We start from the raw sequence: 24,279 nt of genomic DNA, 5'->3' as shown, positions 1-24,279 counted from the left end.
TAGAGGGTGCAAGGAAAAAAATGCACACCAAACACACAGCAAAGCTCTGCCAAAGGGTGGTTCCCTCATCAAACAGACAAGGGAAGGGACAAGTGAGAGAGCGGAGGTGGTGGGGAAGGAGCCGACAGCATGGATGCTTGGAGTCAGGGCAGTGGTTCCACAGGCAGCAAGTCTTACCAAGCCAGGCCATCTTTTCTGCTTAAGTGGAGGTGATCAGAAACGGGACAGAGAAACAGAGCCTTGCCAGTGGGACCAAAATAAAGAGGAATCCAATGTCCATTATATGAAGTGAGCTCGTGTTTGCATCCACCATGGGAACAAACTGCATTTAATGAGTGGCTTCACCTTTAGCTTTCACCGCGCTGTGTCTTTAATTGACCTCTATAACTTGCAGTCTTACAAGGTTCTATTTCCCTGTCTCCATTTCTTACTCAAACCGGGAGCTCTTCTCCCAGAGTGTAATCAAATCCCGCTAAAAGGTAAAAATCTCCAGCATTCATTCACATCTTATACCAAAGGGGAAAAACATAATAAGAGTCCTAAAAATACTCACAGTAAAAAAAAAAAAAAAGAAGAAGAGAGAAAAATTCAATCCTTAATCCCAAACTCCTGTTCCTTAAAAGTGTCTTAGCTTAAAAGGATACACAGGCCAAGTTTGGTGGCTCACACCTATAATCCCAGCAATTTGGGAGGCCAAAGCAGGAGGATCGCTTGATGCCAGGTGTTCAAAACCAGTCTGGGCAATATAGTGAGAGCCTGCCTCTACAAAAATAACATAACATAACATAACATAACATAACATAACATAACATAACATAACATAACAAACAAGCCAGGCTTGGTGGCGCACACCTGTAGTCCTAGCTACTCCAGAGACTGAGGCAGGAGGATTGCTTAAGTCTAGGAGTTTGAGGTTACACCGAGCTATGATGGTGCCACTGCACTCCAGCCTGGGCAACACAGCAAGACCCTGTCTCTAAAAAAAAGTAAAGTATATATAGTGATACAAGTTAAGCATTCCTAATCCTAAAATCTGAAATCCAAAATGTTCCAATCTCATTTGAGCATCCTGTTGGCACCCAAAAAATTTTGGATTTTGGAGTACCTCAGATTTCAGATTTTTGGATTAGGGATGCTCAACCCACAAGTATAATGCAAATATTCCAAAATGTAAAGAAATCTGAAACACTTGTGGTCCCAAGTATTTCAGAAAAGAGCTACTCAACCTGCATTATAAAAAGATACCACTGAAAGGAAACTAACCCTGCTCATCTCTTTTTTCCGAATTATCATTTGGTCTATGCACTCAGCCTCTGCCCTATGAAAATGAAGTCATCATGTAGCAAACATTTACTGAGCACCTACTACATGCTGGGAATGGTGCTAGGCACAGGGGATCGGAGTCGGAAATGGGACATGAGGGCCAGCACAGAGAGCACTGTTTCACTGGCAGAATCTCACAGAACCTCGCACTATGGTCAGCACTATGTTTATTCCCAGCAGATAGAAGAGGAGATTTGGGTTTCCACCTAAAGTAGACAGTCCTGACCCTGAGTCACTCGAACACCCTGGTGTCTGGGAGGAAGCCTAATCCAGTGTGGTCAGGGATCCAGGCCCCATGGAAAGGAAGAGGGAAGTGGCTGAGATTCCCATAAATAGATGCCTCTTACAGTGAAAAGCCAGAGAAAAAAACAAAAGACGACTCCAGGAGGAAAACTGAGCTGGAAACGGCCTTCTTTCTTCTGCCCTGGCTGTCTGACTCTGAGATGACGACCAAAGCAGGCCTGAGGCAATAATGGGGTATCCCCTGGGGACCCGGTCCAAATGGCAAGCTCTTCTGACAGCCTTCAGGCCCTTAGTGACCGTTTTACTTGCTCCTCCCTTCTGGCCATCACAGCCTGCCAGAGGAAAGGATCTGATGATGAGAGCTGCCTCTGTGTAAATGGCTGTCTCTGTCCTGCAGGGCATCAGACTTGGGCAGAGGGAGCATGGCACAGAGGAGAGATGGGCTGGCATGGCATGGGGGCCCACTGGTGACATTCATTCATTCACTCAATGAGTTGACCCACATTTACTGAACACCTACCATGTGAATCACTGAAACCCAAAGGGAGCAGAAAGAAACAAAAACTTGCCCTTGTGGACGCGGGAAAGATAACACTGATCAGTGATAAATCAATGTAACATGACATTAAGACAGGAAGGGAGAGACACATGTCAGCATCATAGTCAACTTGGAAAGTGTGACCTTGTCAGGGCTTCAGGGAGGATTCCTGAGGAAGCGTTGAGCTGATATGCAGCCCTGGCACTGGGCAGTGTTCCAGGCGAGGGAACACTAGGAACAAAGGCCCTGGGTGGGGGGCAGCACAGGGCAGGAGGTCCAGCACCCTGGGGGAGCATGAGGAGAAACTGGTGGGGGGGGGGGTGGGGGGGGAGTGCAGCAGCCAAAATCCTTCTGCAACTCAGTTGTCAAATTCATAAAAAGGGAAAATACTTAATTTGGATGCCCAACGCGTTGTTGGAACTACATCGTGACCTCTGAAAGGATTTTGAGCCTCAAAAGGGATATTCCTGCAGCAGGTGGAGGAGGCTGGGAGGAGGTGGTCACCCTTTCCAAAGCCCCAAGAGTCCTGCAGGGCAAGATCTCTGGGTTTTCACCCAGTCTAACTGAGCCCTGTGGACTGCCAGCCAGCCTTCCAGGCTAAAGGGAGGATTTCATCTACACTGAGGATTTCCACCCAGGATGCTATCCCAACATTACTGTAAAAACAAAAACGGGAAACTATGCAACATCCAACAGGGACCTGGGGAAATCCATTACGGTTTTGTCAGTTCAAGGGAACAAGACACGGTTCTTAAAATGAACAACAATTCTACTCGTGAAGTAAAATTAGAAGATCTCTAAAGCACACTGTTAAATGAGGAAAGGTAGGACACAGAACAAGGAATTCAGCAGGCTACTCGTTATTAACATGTATAGGCATGTGCTCGTTATTAACATGTATAGGCATGTGCTCGTTATTAACATGTATAGGCGCAATAAAGCGGTGTACTGAGGCATCACTCATACCTAGAAAGAGAAACCCAAGACTGGTAACAGTTACAGATTCCAGGTAGGAAAATCAGGGGGTAAGAGAAAGGAAGAAATTTATTTCACCCTTTTTTACTACTTAACTTCTTAGCATGGGGATGCTAAGGTTTGTCATGAGTCTAAAAATTTTGATACTTCCCAACTGTTAAAAGCAAAAATATTACCATTAGTATATCATATTGTATAATATGAAAAAAAGTTTAAGAAAAAAATAAATTTAAAAAACCAAAAATTTAATTTTTTAAGTCAGATCCAGAAGTGCCACTTCTCAGTGTGGGATGCTGGGAGAGTTGCATCATTTCTGAGTCTCAGCTTTGTCTTCTGCAAAATGGCCATCATAATATTAATTACTATTAGGCCACGTGAGGATTAAATGAATTACTAATATACAAGAGGGAAGCCAAATTTTTGACTGATATCAATTAATAAATATTAGCTATTAATATCAGCAGTTATTCATTTGTACAGGTTAATCGGGTTTTATTATCCACAATGAGAATGATGCACTGACGTTGCTCTCCAAAAATTTATCTACAGTGACAACAGTCACCTACCATTTACCACCTGACACTGAACCTGTCCTAAGAAATGGGACCACTGCCTGGTTCCTGACTGCCCACTGAGCCCCTCTCTTGCAAGGCTAGCCTTGGAGTAGGCTGGGACCCCTGGTGTTGGGCAGGGACAACAGAGAGGCTGGCCCACCTTCAAGACCTACCCCACTCACACTGGGAGACAGGTCACAGCCAGGCCTCCATCCCCACATCCCATTGTCCTTTCTCAGAGGAGGTAGATTAGATGCTGCCCAAGTCTCTAATGTGCAACACGGGTGGCAGGGCCACTGCAGGGATGCTGGAACCTTGGCTGGTGGAAATGGGTACCGTAAGGGGACCCCCTCTCCCATACCCGTTCCTGCAATTCTCTAGAGCTGGTGTAGCTTGGAGAAAGAAAATGGGCTTTGTAATTAAACCGGAGTCTGAATCCAGGCTCTATTACATACACACTCACAGAATGACTGGAGGCTTCTCTGAACCTCAGTAAACCTGTAAAATGGAGATGATATCACCTCCCTGAAAGGGTTCTTAGTATACAACAGGTCCTTCCTAAATATGCTTCCTCTTAAGGAAACTCCTAACTACCTACTTAAAGAAATCCACAAAAACATGTACAAAGTCTTGGAGCTGTCAGGAATTAGGGAAGCAAACTCAGTCAGGGACTGCACTATTAGGCTTTCAATACGGTAGGGGGTGGGGGGATGGGGATTACATTTGTATACTGGCCCCACTGAAACAAATGGGGTCTGGTGTGAACTCGCACCTCCAATAGTGCTTTCCTAGACCAACATTTATGAGCCTCCTGATGGAAACACACACCACCACCTGTGACATCGTTGGGGCAAAAAACCAAACCTGAAACTCATCAAGCCTCCAGAGTGAATGACCAATTTAAAGGCAAGGTAAGGGACAGAGGAACATGACAAACATCACCATAGGATTGCAATTAGCAAAATCCTAACTGGGAAAACCTACAGTTCAAGGAGCCAAGTGTCTTCCACAATAATGACAAAAAAGACAAGGGAAAAAAGAGAGTGACAGCAAGGGAATCTACAAATTAACAGAGCCTGAAGAGGCACACCAACCAACTGCACTATATGAACTTTATCAGGGTCCTGATCAACACAAAGACATGGAAAACTCTTTTGAGCTAACTGGAGAATATTGAACACTGACTGGGTATTTCATGATATCATGAAATTACTGTTAACAATAGGTGTTAGGCCAGGTGCGGTGGCTCACGCCAGTAATCCCAGCACTCTGGGAGGCCGAGGCGGGCAGATCACTCGAGATCAGGAGTTCGAGACCAGCCTGGCCAAAATGGAGAAACCCCGTCTCTACTAAAAATACAAAAATTAGCCAGGCATAATGGTGGGCGCCTGTAATCCCAGCTACTCAGGAGGCTGAGGCATGAGAATTGCTTGAACCCAGGAGGCGGAGGTTGCATTGAGCTGAGATCGCACCACTGCACTCCAGCCTGGGCGATACAGCATGATTCAGTCTCAAAAAAATAAATAAATAAAATAAAAATAGGTGTGATAATGGTATTGTGAATATATTTTAGCAGTAAATATTGGGTATTTATGAATGAAAGCATAAGATGGATTGGATATACATCCAAATAATGTGAGTTGAGAAGTAATGAGTAGAGTATGAGCAAAGCAAGAATGACCTTGAGTTGATTATTACTGAGGCCGAGTGATAGGGACATGGGTTTTTGTTACATCATTCCCTCTGCTTTTACGTATGTTTTAAATTTTCTACTTTTAAAGTGAATGATTAAGCCAAAGACTAGGAGCAGATATGTAAAATACATGTAACTGAAAAGGAGATATAAAAACAGTGAGAAAGCAAGAAAACCAAATACTGTGCAGTAGAAAAATGGACAAAGGCTGTGAGAAGTCATATGTGAAACCCAGAATGGGGAACAGGCAAATGAAAAGATAGGCAACCTCATCTGTGGTCAGGGAAATGCAAGTTAAACCCATCTCATGCAAAAAGGTATTGGTAGGTACAAGTGGGAAAACATGAACCATTTTCCTTCTGCTGTCATACCACAACCATCAACAAAGACGACTTCTTGGGACAAAATGTGTGGGGGTTTCTCCCTACCACCAAACAATCAGTTCTGCAGCGGACACCAGCTGGGTGTCCTCTGATTCAATTCTGACACATCTACCTGGAGACAGCATCAGATCCCACAGGGTGAGGCTCAGTCCCACAAGACCGCCCCTCACTTCTGATGCCAACCACAAGCCCCAGGTTATTTTACCTGTACTTCTGACTCACTAGCAATAAAATGCGGATCTCACAACCCCCTTCTTGGGTTCCATTAATTTGCTAGAGCAGCTCACAGAACTCAGAGAAACACATTTTCTGGTGATTATAAAGGATATTACAAAGGATACAGTGAAGACATGCACAGGCCAAGGTATGGGAAGCGGTGCGGAGCTTCCATGCTCTCCCCATGTATCAACCTCCAGGAATCTCCACTTATTCAGCTACCTGGAAGCTCCCTGAATCCTGTCTTCCTGGGCCTTTTATGGAGACATCACTGGATAATCAAGATTAACAACGTGATTGGATAAAAAGGGTATGGTCTAAGACGAACAGACTGAGTGGGGAGACCCTGCAAGGCCTGTCTGTCCAGATGCTTCCTGGCTTCTCTGTGCAGTATTCTTTCCTCCAGGGTGCGGGGCTGGACCCCTTCTGAAATGGGGGTCTTGTGACCTACAATCAGACAATAGGGGTCAATTTCTTTATGGATAGCAGGGGAAGATTAGAGTCCTGCCTTGGGTAGAAAAAGGAAGAGGTGAAAAGAGAGCAGGAGAAGGTCAGAGAGATTCTGACCTGGGTTCAAGCAATTCTCATGCCTCAGCCTCCTGAGTAGCTGGGATTACAGGCGCCCACCACATGCCTGGCTAATTTTTGTATTTTTAGTAGAGACGGGGTTTCACCATTTTGACCAGGCTGGTCTCGAACTCCTGATCTCAAGTGATCTGCCCTTCTTCTGAGGCCTAAAGTGCCTCCAACATTACAACAAGGGCTACGGGAATTATGGGCCAGGAACAGCGGATGAAAACACAAATATATAAAATATCACAGCAGGGATGTAAAAGCGTCAGCAGGAACTTTTGCACACAAACAGGGGGTTAATAAATAGGTGCTTTTACTTTATAAAATGGCAAAACTCAGTAAAGTTTAAGACGCCATACACTAAAACGCCGCAATTTCACACTTAGGTACTGACCTTAAAGAAACGTTTGTGTAATGGACCCAGGAAGTGATAAGAGATGGCTGTTAATATCACAAAAAGATAGCAAACATTAGGCATCTCCTGACAGAAAACACCACCCAACGACACAGTCATATAATCAGCAAAATTAAACCTGAATCCAAGCCTCTAATTTAAGGAAATACAGGAAATGAAGAAGCATATCGAATCACACTACAGAGATACCATCAGCAAAGCTGAGGGGTTGAAAACCTCTGTAAGGCAAATCCAGTGTCTTCAGTAAACAAATTATGAGAGAGAAGGGGAGAGAGAGAGATGAGAGAAGACTCTGTTGAAGAAAAGAAACCTAAGACAGTAGTGGATTCATAGAGGAACAAAGTAGAATGGTCGCCAAGGGCTAGGGGGAGTGGGGAGCAGGCACTGACTGTTTAAAGGGGACAGCTTCAGTCGGGGAAGATGGAAAAGTTCTGGAGAGGGGTGGTGGCGATGGCCTCAAAATGTGTGAACGTACTTAATGCCACTCAACTGTACACTTAACGATGGTTAAAATGGTACAAGTTATGTTAGGTATATTTTACCCTAATTTTTAAAATTTAAAGGAAAAGCAACATAGAGACATATTAACCAATTACAATGCATGGGTCTCACATGGATCCTGAATCAAAAAAACTATTCAAAGGTATGAGGCAATTGGAAATTTGAACACTGACTGTGATGACACAAAGCAATTACTGGTAATGGGGGTGATAAGGATATTGTATTTTTTTTTGTATTTTTAGAGATAAATACAAAGATGTCTATACATGAAATAATACCCAGAATTTGATTGAAATGATATAGGAGGAGGAAGCAGATGTAGATAACCTGAAACACAATTGGCCGTGACGGATAATTGTTCACCCTGACAAAGGATATATGAGCGTGCATTACACAGCCTGCCTGAATGTGGGCATTTTACATAATAAAGAAGTTGTAAAATGAGGAAGCTATTATATGTCTGCACAAAAGGACAAGTGTTAGATGCTCACGGCATTGTGGTTTGTAATAGCAAAATACTGGAGACATCCTAAATGTTTACAAAGACACTACTGAATCCAAAATATTGTGCTATTTCATTCAACAGAGAACTACAGAACCAAGCAAGTAGGTGATCTAGATCAGCGAATCTCAACCAGGGGTGATTCTGCCAGGTTCTGAAATGCAGAGGACATCTGGCGATATCTGGAGACATTTGTGGTTGTCAAAACCTGGCGAGGTGAAGCTACTGGCCTCTAGTGGGTGGAACCCAGGGACGCTGCTAGACATCCCACAATGCTCAGAACAGCCCTCACAATAAAGAATCACATGATCCAAAATATCAGCAGTGCTGTGGTTGAAAAGCCCTGTACCTGATGTACGTGGATTACTCCTCAAACCACAATATTCAATTAAAAACAAATAAGCAAAAACAAGTGGCAAACAGATACATACAACAGTAATACCATGTAGGTAAAAGTTAACAACACAAAACCAAGACTGTTTACTGCTCATGGAAATTTACCCATGTAGTAAAGTATGGAAAGATGGGTTTGCGGGGGGAGGGGACTATATGCCAATTTTAACTATAGATGACTAGAAGGAGAAACAGGAAATGTTGCTTCAACAGAACTTGTAACATTTTACTTATTCTACCCCCTCCCCATAAAAAATAAAAAGCAAATGTGGCAGAGGTGAATGTGGGCAAATCTGGCCAGTGGATGCATGGTTGCTTGCTCTGTGAGTCTCTGTGCTTTTCTACTGGGCTGTGGGCAGCAGAGGCTTGACAGACACACAGGGTTGGGGAAACACTCACCGGTCCCCGGAGATCGATGAGCTCCTGCCTCATCTGGGACACGAGGGCTTCCTTGGCTACCAGGGCCCTGTGCAGGCGCTCGTTGAACTCAATCAGCTCGCCATGCATCTCTGCCACCTGGAACACAAGCACGGAAAGGTGAGGCTTAGAGGCAGACATTCCCCAGGGACCAATCCCGCCTTCTCTGGACTCTCCTTCCTGACACCTGTCAGCAAAACATCTGTAGGCTGTTGGGGCTGGAGTCAATGACACTGCTTACCTGTGAACCATGCAATCCACCCATAAGCTCAATGTGTCTTGACCTGCTTCATACCGACACTTCAGAGTCAACAGTATGAAGTTATGGTCCAAATAGGATGGTATCAGATCATGTTTGGACCTTGGGCTTTTTTTTTCCTCTCTCTTTTTTTTTTTTTTTTTTTTTTTTTTTTTTTTTAATAAGATCTCGCTCTGTCAAGGTCAGACATCTAACAAGGAACTGACACCAGAGCCCTGGCTATGCGCTGTGGTCCTGCCACTCCACTCTGCCCACATGCAACCCATTTGGGCCAGCTGTAAGCTGCTGAATTTTTCCAAATTGAATTATTCGATATTCTCAGCTGATCCCCAATAAATAAAACTGGAGGTGACTACAGATGGTCTATAGTCAATGTACAGACTATTCAACTATAATTTACTTAAGCCTTTTAGAGAAATGTGAGATGTAATCCTGCTACACTCTCCAAGAACCCTGAAGGAAGAATCCTGCAAGCATCTTTAAGAGAAGTCCCCAGAATGCGAGGTCAGGCAGATCCTTATCTAGACCCCTAGCTCCCTAACCTTCCCAAGAGATCACCCCTCCAACGCCCCAGGACTCACCTAAGCACTAACTACACTGTATGCAGTGCGAAAACAATACCAGGCCATTTGCAGTAAGTACTTTACATGAGCTACAGAAGACACTGTCAGAGTAAAGGAGGGATACAGGGAGAAGCTCTGTGGAAAAAACAGGGGTCGCTAAATGTGTGTCGTATCTGAGGAGGAATAAAAGGGAGCCCTCTTTTTTTGTTGTTGTATGAAGGGTAACTCACAGAAGAGAATCCGCCAAGATATGAATGATAGCCAAAGGGGTATGTTTCCTTCTCATTCTTTCTACTTTTATTTGAGCTCCCCTTCATCAGTGAGAGAAGCCACTTAGACCCTTTATAAAGAATTAAAATTCTTCATCTGAAATACAAGGGAGCCACTGTGCAATCAACATGAAATATATCAGGCTTCCAGTAACTTGCTCTGTGAGTTCCCCTCCAAAGGTACCCCCTTCTGTCCCTGAGGTACAGACGCTTTCAAACCAGTGTGAAATATGAAATAGTAAGTGAAAATGACACAAAAGATACTGCAAGAACCATGCAATTAACAAAGGCAGAATAAGTCACTGAGCCTTTCTGCCAGCTTTTTTCTTTGTACAGATGTAAAATTAATATTCCTTTGTTACCTTATTCCTTTTGGATAAGAAAAGGTTGAGTCGATCGTCTTTGGGCCTTTAACAAACAAACACAGTACTGCTAATAATGCCTTTGTGCCTCCTCCACACAGAAATCACATAAACCCCCCACGAGCTTCCTCTGGGCTGTGAATCCATTCACCACGCAGCAAACCAGAAATCCACAGCTGCCGATATTACTGCTAAATACCTGCCAATGTGCCCCCACAAAATGTGAGCCTTAAATAAATGCCACTGCCATTTCCAAAGCCAAGCAGGGTTTTGTGTTTTGTTTCTGTTTTGTTTTGCAGTGGGAGCCAGAGTGTTACTGCAATTTTCCATAAATGCAGGAAACACCGAAACGTCCCAGATCCAAGTTGTGTTTACCATAAGCTGTCAAAACCCTGGTGCTCTTCCACAGCCAGAAGAGCAGAACTTGACCACATCAGGCAAATCTTTCATTTCACTAGGGAATGAAAAGGAAAAATCCCATGCAACTTAAGAGACAAAATTTGATCAAATAATTTCCAGCAACCATTAAAACTATGATGTTCATTGTTACTAAGCTAACCTCTGAAACTCTGAGTTTTTATATCACATATCCCTACCTACAGCCATTGGTATCAACAGCTTTCATCTTACATAAACCACACTGAGCTTACTGTTCCTCGAATAACTATTTCCAAACTCCAGTATAACTAGAAATAAATTCAAGACTCAGAAAGAGCCTCAGAAGAGAGAATGTGAGATCACAAAGAGTTCCTGTTATCACAAAAATAAAAGTAGGCTGCACAACCACTGCCTCTTGGAATTTTTATTAGGCTTTGAGGGCACTTATGGGTTCTCATCTGACCTTCTTATTTTTCAACACCCACAGAAAATAGGACAGAGAGAGAACAGGTGCCCTCCAATCCATTCTCCTCCAAGCAGGCACAATGATCTTCCCAAAGTAACATCTAATGTTGTCACCTGCTGTTTAATACTTTCAGTGCTTCCACTGCTTTAAGAGTAAAACCCAAACTCCTTCAAGATGCAGCCCCAGCCTTTCTCTCCAATCCCCCTTCTCCCTCTTGGGGTCTCACTAACTCACTCAGTCCCCACAGGCCTTCTCTGCTCCATAAACATGTTGAGCAATAAGAGGTCACCCTGGAGACAAGGAAGAGAAAGGTATGACCAGTGGAGGAAACTACAGGTGCAAATGCCGGCACCAGAGGCTGGCAGGGAGGAGGCGGAGAGAGGTGGTTCAGGCATCGGGCCTTGGTGCAAGATGGGCCTGGGCTTGATCAGTTACTGACAGTGTGTGTGTTCTGGTATGAGCCTGTGGCTGTGCGTCTATGAAATGGGCATTAAAAACCACACCCATTTCACCAGGCCACTGTGAGGATGGCAAGAGATGCCGCACTTAGCAGGCTTGGCAGCACATCTGGGGCAGGATAAGTTCCCAGTGGATGAGAGCTGGTTTTATGACATGGGTGATCATGACAGGAGACATGGAGGAAGTGGCAGACAAGTAGGTGTCCAGGGGCCAGATGGAGAAAGGCCATGATGTGCCACACCAAGGAGATAGAAATGCTGTGGGGAGCACTCAGTGTGCCCCGAAGCAAGAGCACCACAGAGTTGCTAGCCATCTTCCAGGCACAGTGCTAGGATCTTAGGGAGGAGAAAGGAGAGCCACACAGTTCACATCCTTTGACATTTGGTAAATTATGCTAGAGTGACTCGGAGAGAAGACAGGGTGTCAGGGAAGGCCCACCCCTCCAAGAGTTAACATTCGGGAGTCACCTATCTAATGAGCCTTGGGACATGCCAGGCAGCCTCCCATGCCATATCCAACGCCTATATCCCACGCCTATATCCCCACCAGGCACTTGTGTCCTGACATCATCAGTTTGAGAGTCTGATGTGCTTCCTTCTATCCTCAGTTGTTGTATTTCATGAAAATTAATCCATCTGCAGGTAGTTAAGGAGGAGATGCCATTTGACAACACTATGACAGTGACAAATCAAAAGTAAATGCCAGGTGGAGATACAAAGACCAGGGCTGACACAGCCACAAACCCAGCCCAGCAAGGGACAGAGGACCAGGAATGAAGCCTTGATTCTCCAAAAGGCCCAAGGACACCACCTAGCCAGCAGAAGTTGTGGTTCTGAACTTGTGCTTGCAAGGTGCACAACTTATCAGTTAACGAGGTGCAAAGACTATGAGTCATCATCTGGGTTTCATCTTTTGGGCTGGAGAGAAGGTAGAAGATTCAAGAAGTTTAAGTAACTTGCCTATTTGGCAACATCTATCAAATTTTTTTTTTTATACTTTAAGTTTTAGGGTACGTGTGCACAACGTGCAGGTTTGTTACGTATGTATACATGTGCCATGTTGGTGTGCTGCACCCATTAACTCATCATTTAGCATTAGGTATACCTCCTAATGCTATCCCTCCCCCCTTCCCCCACCGCACAACAGTCCCCGGTGTGTGATGTTCCCCTTCCTGTGTCCATGTGTTCTCATTGTTCAACTCCCACCTATGAGTGAGAACATGCGGTGTTTGGTTTTTTGTCCTTGCCATAGTTTGCTGAGAATGATGGTTTCCAGCTTCATCCATGTCCGTACAAAGGACATGAACTCATCATTTTTTATGGCTGCATAGTATTCCATGGTCTATATGTGCCACATTTCTTTAATCCAGTCTATCATTGTTGGACATTTGGGTGGGTTCCAAGTCTATCAAATTTTTTAAATCACTCACCTTCGATTTAACAAATCATGGCTGGGCAGAAATCCTGCCTCTCTACTTGCATGTGAGCTCAAAATACAAGTTTAACTCCAAATGGCTGGGATCCACCTCAATGCCTATCAAAGGGGACTGGGTAAGTATCTCAGGATGCCACTACTCCCCTGCCCGCTGTTCCCTTGGCAGACAGCACTAATCAATCACTGTTCCTCAAGAAGATACCTAGGCAGTCATAACCAATCAGTGTGTTGCCCAGCAAGATGATGCCTATTTGGTAGCCCTGGCCTAAAAGATGGGGGAAAGCACCACCAAGAAAGTGACATTTGAGTTGGGCTTTGGAAAATGATGCCTTCAGAGCTTTAGGAGATGGAGTAATTCCTTCCAGCTGGAGTATCAGGAAAGATGATCTCCAAAAATAATGTGGCTGTGAGAAAACTTTTAAGTCTGTAAAAATACCAGGAATTATCATAATTACCTGCCAAATCAGAAAAGGATTACAAATTTTTCAAAAACGCCTCTGGCATTTCCTTTCATATCAGAATGTTCCCTCCATCTAATCACATTCAAGTAAATCATGCTTCACCCTCCTCCAGCTAACAAATTAGATGCTTCTTGATTAATTAGATCAAGACACCCCCCAAAATTTCAATAGCAACTGAGGCTCTTTGGGGGTCACATACTCAAAACTCTCCAAGATTATTCACTTCGATGCCTTAGAATCTGTTACGTTTTATAAAACTCACAACCCGTTTTCAGGCCCAGTTTACTCTGGTTGTGGGGAGGGGCCTGAAGCCTCTTTCTGTGATGATGGCATTGCACCTGTTTTGTTAAAAAGTGAACCTAGACAGTCCCCACTTTGCGTTCACACACTCCGGAGCACCAACTAAGTGTCAGGCCTCTTATAGGCATTAGGTGCACCAGCTCATGTAATTCCTACAATCCCCCTGCAGGGCTGGCATGCTTTCCTTACCAATGAGGCAAAGGGAGGTTGGCTTATAAGCCTCAAATGTCAGGACAAGGAAGTGACAGAGTGGGGATTTGAACCTCCACCTTAATGGCCCTACTATCTGTGCTCTTTGCACTCCCTCTTGGGATATGGTAGGAAGATGATCCCTTTGGTGGTTAAGGACAATTCATTTGTACTGCAGAGTAGAGGGAAGTGACATAGTTTAGACTCGTGGCTCCCAACCCAAGCTGATCACTAGTCACTGGGAGGGCTTCTGAAAAATGCGGATTTCTGGGTCTTGGCCCCTGAAATTCTGATTCAGTAGACTGAGGGGAAGGACCTCAAAGAAGTACTTTTTAAAGCCCACGGTGACTGTAATGATCAGTCAGAGTTGAGAGCCACTGGTAAACACAAAAGGAGCATTTCACAGACTCAGCTTTGAACGGCAGTTGGGCCATTCCCTACTTGTAGGAAACAGTTTTCCTCTTCCTCATTTGTAAAACGGGGACGTTGCAGAAGCTCCTCCACTTGTCACCTCTCCACCTCTGAACTCTCGCTGATGTGAACAAAGCCACAAGCCAGAAGAAAATGGCATGAACCCTGCCTGCCCACAGCGGATGGCGGTACAGTCATCCCTCGGTATGGGTGGCGGATTGGTCCCAGGACTCCACACGGATAGCAAAATCCATGGGCACTCCAGTACCTTCTATTAAATGATGTTTTAGTATCTGCAATAGAACCTACACACCTCCTCCTGTATACTCTAAATCATCTCTAAATTACTTACAGTACCTGATATGATGTAAGTGCTATGTAAATAATTGTTCTACCATATTGTTTAGGGAATAAAGAGAAGGAAAAAAGTCTGTACACGTTCAGTACAGATGCATTCTCCCCGCCCGGTATTTTTGCTCCCCAGTTGGTTGAATCACAGATGCAGAGTCGCAGATACAGAGGGCCAACTGTAACTGTCACATGCAGTGTTGCTACCTCAATAATGACACAGCAAGTGCCACACACACACGGCAAGTGACTCTATGACAGTGACATGCACAGGGTGGCCCACAAACTGGTGTGGGTGTGCCACCTGTTTTCTACCAGTATAACATCAGAGGAGGAAAGAAACTGGAAGCAAGCATTTAGAAATGTTTCAAGCAATTTCATATTGCTGTGAAACAGGAGCTTCAGGGTTTTTCTAGACTGTTTTTTGGTGATTTAGCAAAATATCATTCTGCAATGAATTGAAAGTTTTTTAAAAAAGAAAACTGGTTCCCATAGTTTTAGAAGCATTGACCTATAAGTGCTGTGTCTGAAGCAATTTCTTGCATTAATAATTATGAAAAACAAGTATAAAAAATAATGAAAAAAAGCCAAACTGCAGACACATTTGGATAAAATTCAAGAGAGTTGAAAAGAAAAATGAGATAAAACCAATGCTATCAACGCCTGTCATTCTTTTAGATGCCTATACAAGTATCCCTTATCCAAAATGCTCAGGACCAGAAGTATTTTGGATTTTGAATTTTTTGGATTTTGGAGTATTTGCATTATACTTACAGGATGAGCATCCCAAATCTGAAAATCTGAAATCCAAATGCTCCAATGAGCATTTCCTTTGAGCATTATGTCAGCACTCAAAATATGCTGACTTCCGGAATATTTTGAATTTGGGATTTTGGGATTTGGGATGCTCAACCTGTACATTGTCTTACAGTGTCCATTTAGCCTTGAAAACTAAGAAAACTAGAAATGTTCATTGAAATAATGGGTGTCCAGATCTAGCACTAGACACAGAGTCACAGGAAATCCTCAGGGAATTCTAGTAGCCATAGCTCTCTTTGACCTTGGCACGGTGGGTCCAGGGAGTGACAGTGAAATCTGAATCCCAGTTATTAGGGCTCCAAAGCCCATGCTGTTCTGGTCACATGGCCTTTCAGGCAACAAATAAATAACCCAGGAAGAGAAACACTGTGCCTATTTGAGGAAATGTAGGCTTGGCGGGGGGCAAGTGGCCTGTCTAAAGCTACACAGTTTATTTTACTCCCTAACAGAGCCACAACTACACACCAAGCTTCCTGCTTTTAATTCAGCGCTCTCTGCTCCTCTACCGGGAGGCCACAAGACTTTTAAACAAGCTGAGGAATGGGGAAGTGTTCTGTAAACTAAGGGCGCTGTCTTCCCAGAGGGGCGATGGTGACAGTGTGGAGGGGTGGGCAGACTCAGGGGGCACTCCCTGCGCACGAGGAATGTTCCACTTCCTCTCCGAGCAGTACTCACCTGTACCCTACAACTCCCCTGGGAGGTGAGTGGTGTTACCGTCCCTAATTTTGTAGCTAAGAAAACTGAGGCACAGAAAGGGTGTGCAACTTGTCCAAGACCACACAGGAAGTAAGCAGCAGAACTGGGATTCGGATTCCCCAGCCTGTGTTTGTGGCCACACTCCTCTCTCCTCCCTCTCAGCATACGCCATCACTGTGATGCTGAGCTAGCATCTCAAGGTACCAGTGAAGAGCAGAGGACCTGGAAGGGTGCTGAGCCAGGGATGGAGGGCTGGGAGCATCTCAAAGGTAAGGGACACTGTCACACACACACACATGTACACACACACAGAGCCGGGGAAAGGCGCTGTCAACGCCACAGTGAATGGCTGCCATCAGCAGGCAGAGGGGAAAAGCCATGTGGGCTCTGGCTGCTCCCACATCCCCCTCAGGGGGACCCTAGCAGTAAGGGAAGGGGCACCTAGAGTAAGTAAGAACCTCGGCCAATGCAAGGCCAAAGGAGACTCCCAGAGAAGAGTCTAGGAGCTCCCCAGCAGCTAGGGTAAGCCTTCTCCAAAATGGTTTCTGCTTCAGGTGAAGGCAACACCGACAACAGCTTCAAACGAAAATCCCAGCATGAAGACATTCCAGGAGACTGGCAGACATGACTTCCAGATGTTCCATGTCAAGGAGAAAAATGAGGCCCTGGAGGTCAAATCCAGGTCCTGTCTACTCACTGCTGGATGACCTTGTGTAAAGAATCACACGTCTTTGATTCCTGGTACCCTATTTTTTTAATTTTGTTTTCCAGAGACAAGGTCTTATTCTGTTGCCCAGGCTGGAGTACAGTGGTGCAATCACAGCTCATGCAGCCTCGACCTCCTGGGTTCAAGCAATCCTCCTGTCTCAGCCTCCCAAGTAGCTGGGACTACAGCCATGTGCCACCATGCTCACCTATTTTTTTTTTTTTTTTGTAAAGACAGGATATGGCTACGTTTCTCAGGCTGGTCTTGAACTCCTGGACTCAAGGAATCCTCCTGCCTCAGCCTCCCGAAGTGCTACGATTATAGGCATGACCCACCACACCCAGCTCTGATTCCTGGTATCTTATTTGTCAAATGAGGTTATTGTCACCTATTGTACAGGTTTGTCACGAGGTACAAAGGGATGAAAGAGTTCTCGGGCAGTCACCAGTACCTGCCATGATGTGGACAGGATGTAACAGAATGAGCACCTGCTATGGGTCTGATAGCACTCTAAGTGTTTTACATATTAGCAGACACTACAAGCCTGGGAGGTGTATATTTACCCCCATTTTACAGATAAGGAAAACTGAGGCTCAGAAGGGTGACTCGAATGTCCCAAGTCATGCAGTCTGGAAGGGAGGGAGGTGGTCAGTCTGGCTCCAGAGCCTGCATGGAGGCTCATGGTCCTGCATCTCCCATCTTTGGAGTCTCTCCTGTTTCTTTCTTCCTTCCAATACACATTTTGCTTTGGTTCTGCTGTGGGGACGGCTGGCCCCAGGAAGTTATTCAGGCTTGCCCTGATGAGCCAGGTGCTCTGGAATCTCGGGACTCATCCTCCTCAATGCCGCACCATAAAGCCACCATGTAATAAATTCAACTGAGACCTGTGGGGCAGATCATCCTGAAGTGCCACCGAGACAGTGCTGTGTAGGCTCTGTCTGCAGAGTCACTAAGCAGAGGCTTTTAAGTAACCCTGGTGATAACTTCACATTTCAAAGGTTCCCTTGATCACCTCTGCAACAAGCCCCTCAGCACTCAGAACACTGAGATAGCAAGAGGTAATGCTTACACACATCAGGATGGGATTACAGTTTAAAGAGGGACAACACCCATCACTAAAAACAGCTCAGTTAGTAAGGGGACGCCTCTGAGAAGCAGAGGTTTAGGTGACCGTCATCGCTTGGCCACGGGGCTGCCAGGTCTCAGGCCCCAATGTTGGTCATCATTTCTCCCGACATGTGGCCTTTCAGAATATACACAGGCAAGCCAGGGAGGGAGGCTTCATAGAGCAGCAGCTGCTACCCCCCTGGAGACAATGATGCTCTCCTGGCCCCTACAACAGCCCTCCAAGAGCCAAGGCAGAATCCACAGAAATGACCATGTTACAATAGCAGCCAACACCTTCCTGGTGGTTGGTGAGCAATGACAGGGGAAAGAAAGCAAAAAACAAAACCTGGAGCCCCAGCCCTCTGCTGAAAGGTGTGTTCCTTTAAGAAGAACACACAAGAGGCACTCATGCAGCTGTGAGGGTCTTTAAGCGGGTTCCCCAATTCACACCTGTCCTGTGAGAGCAGTACGGGAGAGGGTGTGCGGCGTGGTGCGAACGCCAGAGGCAGGCCATTTGGGATTAAAACCCACCATTCCTGACTCCCTAGATGTGACTTTGGGCAACTTACCTCCACCTCTCTGGGCCTCAGTTTCTCATCCATAAAATCACATTAACAACGATGCAAATGTCAAAGGGCTTTTGTGAGGTTTAAATAATAAAAGAAAGAGGTGCTTTACTTAGGGTTACGTAAAGTACTCCATAAATGTTAATTACCATGATTATCCATTAAAGAGGCACCAGCAGAAGTGTCCAGTACCACTGGTCCTGTAGAATCTACATCCTTCATCTCTCCAAGGTCTGTCCCCGCTCCTCCATCCTGTGGCCAAACCTAGGTTCAGAAGCCCCCTCCCACCTAGACAAACACCACCGCCTCCCTGCTGCCCCCGCCACCAGCTGACGCTCAAATGATCTTTCTAAAACCCAGGATCACACCCCTTTACTGCTTAAAATCCTTCAATAACATTTACAAACTAGATTGCATGATGTCTGCAATTTGCTTCAAAATAATACTAGGAATGGCGGTGGGGAGGGGGGAGTGGGACTGGCTTGGGTTGGTGGCTGCTGAAGCTGACGGGACTGTGTGCTGGGCACACAGAGGTGCATTCTACTATTCTGTCCACATTCACATTTGTCCACAATCCAAACTTAAAAAAAAATTCTTCAATGGCTTTCCACTAATTTTCTTGGCATGGCATAAAAGCAACTGGTGGGAGAGGAGGTGGGAGGAGAGGGCAGAAAACATTTCAAGAGAAGGACCGACATGGATGGAACGAGAATACGGCTGCACCCCCACCTTCCCACTGTGCCCACATCCTAAAATGCTATCCACCCTTCACAACGTCACTCAAATCTCAGTTGATCTCCTTGCCCAACGCCTTCGATCCATTCATCCACCTCCTCCACAGATCATCCCCCAGTAGTAGTGGCAACAACAGTTACTGTTTTCTGAGCACTTACTAAATGTCAAGTACGTCATGTATGACATAAAGGCTCTTTCATGCAATAAAAGGAAGTGCTCCAACTGGCCACAGACCCATGATATCTGAGTTCGGTGAGTGGAGCACGGCTAGATAGAGCTCCCACTGGTCCCCCCAGAGCCATAAGCTGTTGTGCAGTGTACAACCTGCACAACCGCACACAGAAGTCTTAGACATCATACTAGGTGCTGGTGTTGTCCCTATTTTATATGGGAGGAAACTGAGGCCCACAGGGACTAGAACACTTGCCCATGGTCACATGGAGATGGCTGCAGTAGCTAACGCCCAGACCCATGTTCTATCTGTTACATGAGGCTCCCCCAGAAGAAGGTGTAGCATGCACTTCTGCAGATGGTAATGTCTCCTGGGCAGTTCACAGCTCTAGCGCAGAGCACAGGATCTTACCCAACTCCACGTGTGTTACTGGAGATCACTGCCAAAGCCACTGACAACACCAGACACTTGTAGGGCTTATTTCTGCTGCATGGATTATGGGAGGGTCAGCGGAAAAAGGGGCAGAGGCCTCTTTCCTTAAACGTAGCATATGAGGTGGTTTACTTGGCGCCACACAATGGGTGTAATTATAGTTCCATCACAAGCACAAAACATGGTGCTCGGCTAGGCCTGTGAAAATGGGGCCGGAATTACTTTAAAAAGGCTCTGCTGGCCTCTCCTTTCAAAAGCACAGTGGTTACAGGCTGGCTTGCAGAGGACGGCTATTGATTTCCCAAGACCTGGGAGTTAGAAGGCAGCGCAGCGTTGGCCTCCTCTCCTCCCCAGCACAGAAAGCCTTCTCCAGCCTGCTGGGCAGGCAGCCCAGGAGGAGAAAGAGGAAGAGGAGGATACAGTGAGGCCACTGTCATTAAGAGCAAACATTTACTGAGCATGTATTGGACGCCAGACCCAACCCTAAGCCCCATCCTTGTGTTAACTTATCCATACAAGGCCTGTCCATGGCTCCTTCTTAAGAAACTTATCTTCAATATCTGAAAATTCTCAGATTCTTTCATTCATTTATTCATTCATTCCACAAACATCTACTGAGCATCTACCATTTGCCAAACCCTGTTTTAAACACTATGGATACAGCAGCAAACAAGAGAGACTCTTGCCCTCATGGTTTCTATATTCTAGCTAGTGGTTCCATCTACAGATTGAGGAAATGGAGGCTCACGGAGGTTTAGTCCTAGGCAAAGCTAACACTAAAGGCCGTGGGATTGGAACCAGAGTCCTTTCTCACACCACCATGCTGGACAATCTCTCTCTGCTTTGGGTTATTTTATAAACCCTCTCCCTTTGTGAGGTTGTATTAGTCTGTTCTCATGCTGCTGACAAAGACATACCCAAGACTGGGTAATTTATAAAGAAAAAGAGGTTTAATGGACTCACAAGTTCCACATGACTGGGGAGGCCTCCCAATCTGGCAGAAGGCGAAAGGCATGTCTTATATGGCGGCAGACAAGAGAGTGAATGAGAGCCAAGAGAAAGAGGAAACCTCTCATAAAACCATCAGATCTCATGAGACTCACTACCACAAGAACAGGAGAGGGGAACAACCTCTGTGATTCAATTATCTCACACTGGGTCCCTCCCACAACATGTGGGAATTATGGGAGCTACAATTCAAGATGAGATTTAGGTGGGGACACAGCTAAACCACAGAAGAGGTCAAATGCACCTCCCTGCACAGGCCTGGAAGCACTAATTCATTTACTTATTCAGTCATTCATTCACGTTTCTTCATTCATTCAACAAACATTTATTGAGCAACGGTGTGCCAGGCACTGATCTGAGCTCTGGGCATCAGTGTGACAAGGACCCTGCCCCTGCCCCTGCCCCTGCCCTCACAGAGCTCCCTATCTCGTGGGGATCTAGGTGGTCAACGGTTCTCAGACAAAGTGGCCAGTGGCACAGCAGGAAGACTACGGTCCCTGGGAACAGGAAGGGGAGGCAGCTACCCGTCCTAGGGCTTGTGATACTAAGCTGAGGCCAAAGGCAGGAAGAGGTCAGCTGGCAGGAGGCATGAGAACAGGTTCACACCCAAGCCCCATCATTCATCTGCTCCCATTTCCTCGGCTATAAAGTGGGGCTCCATCGTATCGAGCAGGATTTTAAACATGGTTAAGATGTGACTTCAGAGCAGCCAGCCTGGCACAGGGCCTGGGGCAGCTTCTCTTTATCTCCGAGAATAGGTTGCTGGACACAGAAGTTATTTAGTACCGTGAAGCTAACACTAGCACACCAAGTCAGAAGTTTTCTGGAAAACATTTCACCCTGAAGTGCTGCTTTTCCATTCATTCTGCAAGGTGCTGGAAAGCACAGGCTTTCACATAAAGATGTGAATTCTGAAATTATGTGGCTCTTTGTCGTGTTCTCATGTCTTGAGAAATCAGTGGAGGCTGGTGTGCGTTTTTAATCATATTCCCTTCGAAGTAGCACACAGAGACCTCCTGAATATTTCAACCACGGGCTCAATAAATTATGTCCAAGTTTCAAGAGAAAGACAGTAAATGAAAGAACATTAAATTTTATGAGCATCAAAATGTTGTTTTCCTTTGAGAGTCTCTTTCTCACACCCAACAGCACTCCCGTAAAGCTGCCAAGAGCCTCCTTCAGGTAAAGGCTGGCTTGCTCCTCCCAGGAAGGGGTATGCAGCCATTCATTTGTGCCAAGCAGTAATTCATGAACACCAGCACCTGGACAGAGGGAAGACTGTGCTCAAATGTGAGCGAGCACTGTGGGGTACTGGTCTGGGGGATGAACTTGGAGCTGGACGGCCAGGATTCTGTCCCAGTCTGCCAGTAACTTGCTGGGTGACCTTGGGTAAATCATTCAACCTCTCTGGACCTCAGTTTCTGCATCTGAAAAATGGTGGCCATAGGAGCTCTTACATGATAGCGTTGTTATGAGGACTAAATGAGCCAATATACAACTCAAGCTTCGTAAAAGACACAAGATTCTGATTCTTACAGCTTTGATTGACACACAGAACTGGGCACATCCCTACAACTTCCTTAAGCCCCACAGACATTACAATGGAAAGACGAGATGGTATAGTTTAAAACAACAACATGGAATTTAAGGGCTTGAATCTGGGACCACACTTCACTGGCTGTGTCCCATGAACGGGGCAGCCATTGTTTCTACACAGCTCTGAACACCCCTAAGCCTCATGGTTTCATCAGCAACATGGAGACTGTAATCTCTTCTCTCCATGGGACACTGAAGATATGACCGAGATCTTGTATGTTAAAATGCCAAGCATACACTCTTGCCCTCAGGAGGCATGCAGCAGACATCTGTGACTTTTCTTCCCTTGCAGAGGGCAACAGGCAATAAAACTTTTTCTCTGGGTGACTCATATCCCCATGATATACGCAGTGAAGGTAAGTGCAAAAGTATCACAATGCTTCCCTGCCTAGGCCACCCCCAACAGAGTGGCTCATCAAATGTGATCTTCTTCTGTTTTCTATTCAACAGTCAGCATTACAAGACCACATCTACCTCCCAGAATCTGGGAGAGGTAAAAGAGTTCACGTTCTCAGCAGCATCTATGAAGCTGGGGTCTCAAGCCTAAATTTCTTTACTTCCTGGCACGAAGCACTGTGCTGGAAATGACCTGGCAGCTACGGAGTCACTAGCCCACAGCTGCTCTAATCCCTACAATGGGAATGTCATGAAGACAACAAGTGGGTCCTTGTGGCAGAGATACTGGTGCTCACCATGCACCCTACCTGCTCCCCAAGCTTCCCAGCCCCCTCTGCACAACAGGGCACAAGCTTCTGACTTAGGGCCAACGAGTTCCAGGTGGAAGTGACAAATGTTTCTTCTGAGTCATAGCATAGGACTGCTGGCGTGTGACCCTGCACCATCCCTTCCCTGTAACACTAAGTGAGAAAGCCATGGTGTGGCCACAAGATGGGAGCCTCTGTCCACCTAGATTTCTGAGTCATTATGTGGAGCAGAACAGTCCCACTGTTGCCCTTGGGCAACCCATGTTGGACACATACGAACAGGAAATAAGCTTTTATTTTGTTAAAGACCGAGATTGAGGATCATTTGTTACTGTGGCAGAACCAATCCTATTCTGACATGTGTCAACTTGACAACCCTGTATCTTCCTAGCTCTCTCACAATGGGCCTGAAAGTCTGAGGAAAGGCACAGAGGCCAAAGACATTTGTTAAAGGCAGCTTTGCAACAGCCACAGGAAGTAGGTATCATGATATCCTTTTACCCAAGAAGAAACTGGTCTCAGACACATTAAATCATTTGTTCAAGGTCATACAAATCACAAGTGGTGAAGTCAGAATTTGAACCCAGGTCTATCCATCACAAGACTTGTATTCTGTCTGCTATATGGGCCCAGGCAGTACTTTCTAATGAGTTTGTCTGTGAAAGCCCCAAATACAATTCAAATCTCTCCTTGGGCTCCAATAATAATAGTAACCATAGGTTGGATGCGTTCCACAGGCCAGACACTCTTCTTGGTCCTTTATCAATATTCCTTCACTGTAATCATCACGTCTCTTCAAGGCATTATGCCCATTCTACAGGTAAGGAAATAGGGGCTTAGAAGAGACTGTAGGATGAGTTCTCATAACCTCATGGTGAAGTAAATAGAGGAAAGATGCCAGTGGTGACAGACAAAGGATAGGGGCCCCTTTAGTGGATGGAAGGCAAAGACTCCACGTAAAAGGCTATAAAGCGGGACACTGAGGAACACTCTCCACTGGAGGATCTCAGACCTTCAAGAACCCACAAAGATGCTTCAATGCCCAAGATACCACATGCTCCGGGTGACCTAATCAGACTCTTAGAGATGTTTGCTGCCGGGGTTGTGAAAGAG

At 45.6% G+C, this 24,279-nt stretch overlaps 1 protein-coding gene across 19 annotated transcripts in view, besides 4 other annotated features; it reads right to left on the bottom strand.

Moving 5' to 3' along the window:
• Window positions 1-24,279, bottom strand: part of SNX29 (sorting nexin 29) — a 597,554-nt gene that overhangs the window by 209,300 nt on the left and 363,975 nt on the right. For all 19 annotated transcript variants that reach the window (XR_001752024.3, NM_032167.5, XM_017023874.2 and 16 more), the window contains one exon: window positions 8,709-8,825. Coding sequence is in view for 18 of the 19 variants with exons in the window: in NM_032167.5 (NP_115543.3) it covers window positions 8,709-8,825 (117 nt within the window). In the remaining variant the exon portion in view is untranslated. The remainder of the gene's footprint in view (window positions 1-8,708; window positions 8,826-24,279) is intronic.
• Window positions 15,899-15,968: an enhancer, noted in NCBI's record as "active region_10468". NCBI's record gives its function as "activates an Ori minimal core promoter by ATAC-STARR-seq in GM12878 lymphoblastoid cells {active_cell/tissue: GM12878}" and the evidence as "EXISTENCE:reporter gene assay evidence [ECO:0000049][PMID:35858748]".
• Window positions 16,069-16,118: a silencer, noted in NCBI's record as "silent region_7218". NCBI's record gives its function as "represses an Ori minimal core promoter by ATAC-STARR-seq in GM12878 lymphoblastoid cells {active_cell/tissue: GM12878}" and the evidence as "EXISTENCE:reporter gene assay evidence [ECO:0000049][PMID:35858748]".
• Window positions 16,239-16,328: an enhancer, noted in NCBI's record as "active region_10467". NCBI's record gives its function as "activates an Ori minimal core promoter by ATAC-STARR-seq in GM12878 lymphoblastoid cells {active_cell/tissue: GM12878}" and the evidence as "EXISTENCE:reporter gene assay evidence [ECO:0000049][PMID:35858748]".
• Window positions 22,467-23,666: an enhancer, noted in NCBI's record as "BRD4-independent group 4 enhancer chr16:12435179-12436378 (GRCh37/hg19 assembly coordinates)". NCBI's record gives its function as "activates an origin of replication core promoter dependent on BRD2, P300/CBP, MED14 and CDK7 cofactors, and independent of BRD4, by STARR-seq in HCT116 cells {active_cell/tissue: HCT116}" and the evidence as "EXISTENCE:reporter gene assay evidence [ECO:0000049][PMID:35650434]".

Source organism: Homo sapiens, chromosome 16 (genome assembly GCF_000001405.40).
Source record: "Homo sapiens chromosome 16, GRCh38.p14 Primary Assembly".
Taxonomy (NCBI): domain Eukaryota; kingdom Metazoa; phylum Chordata; class Mammalia; order Primates; family Hominidae; genus Homo; species Homo sapiens.
This window is presented reverse-complemented; position numbering and strand designations above follow the sequence as displayed.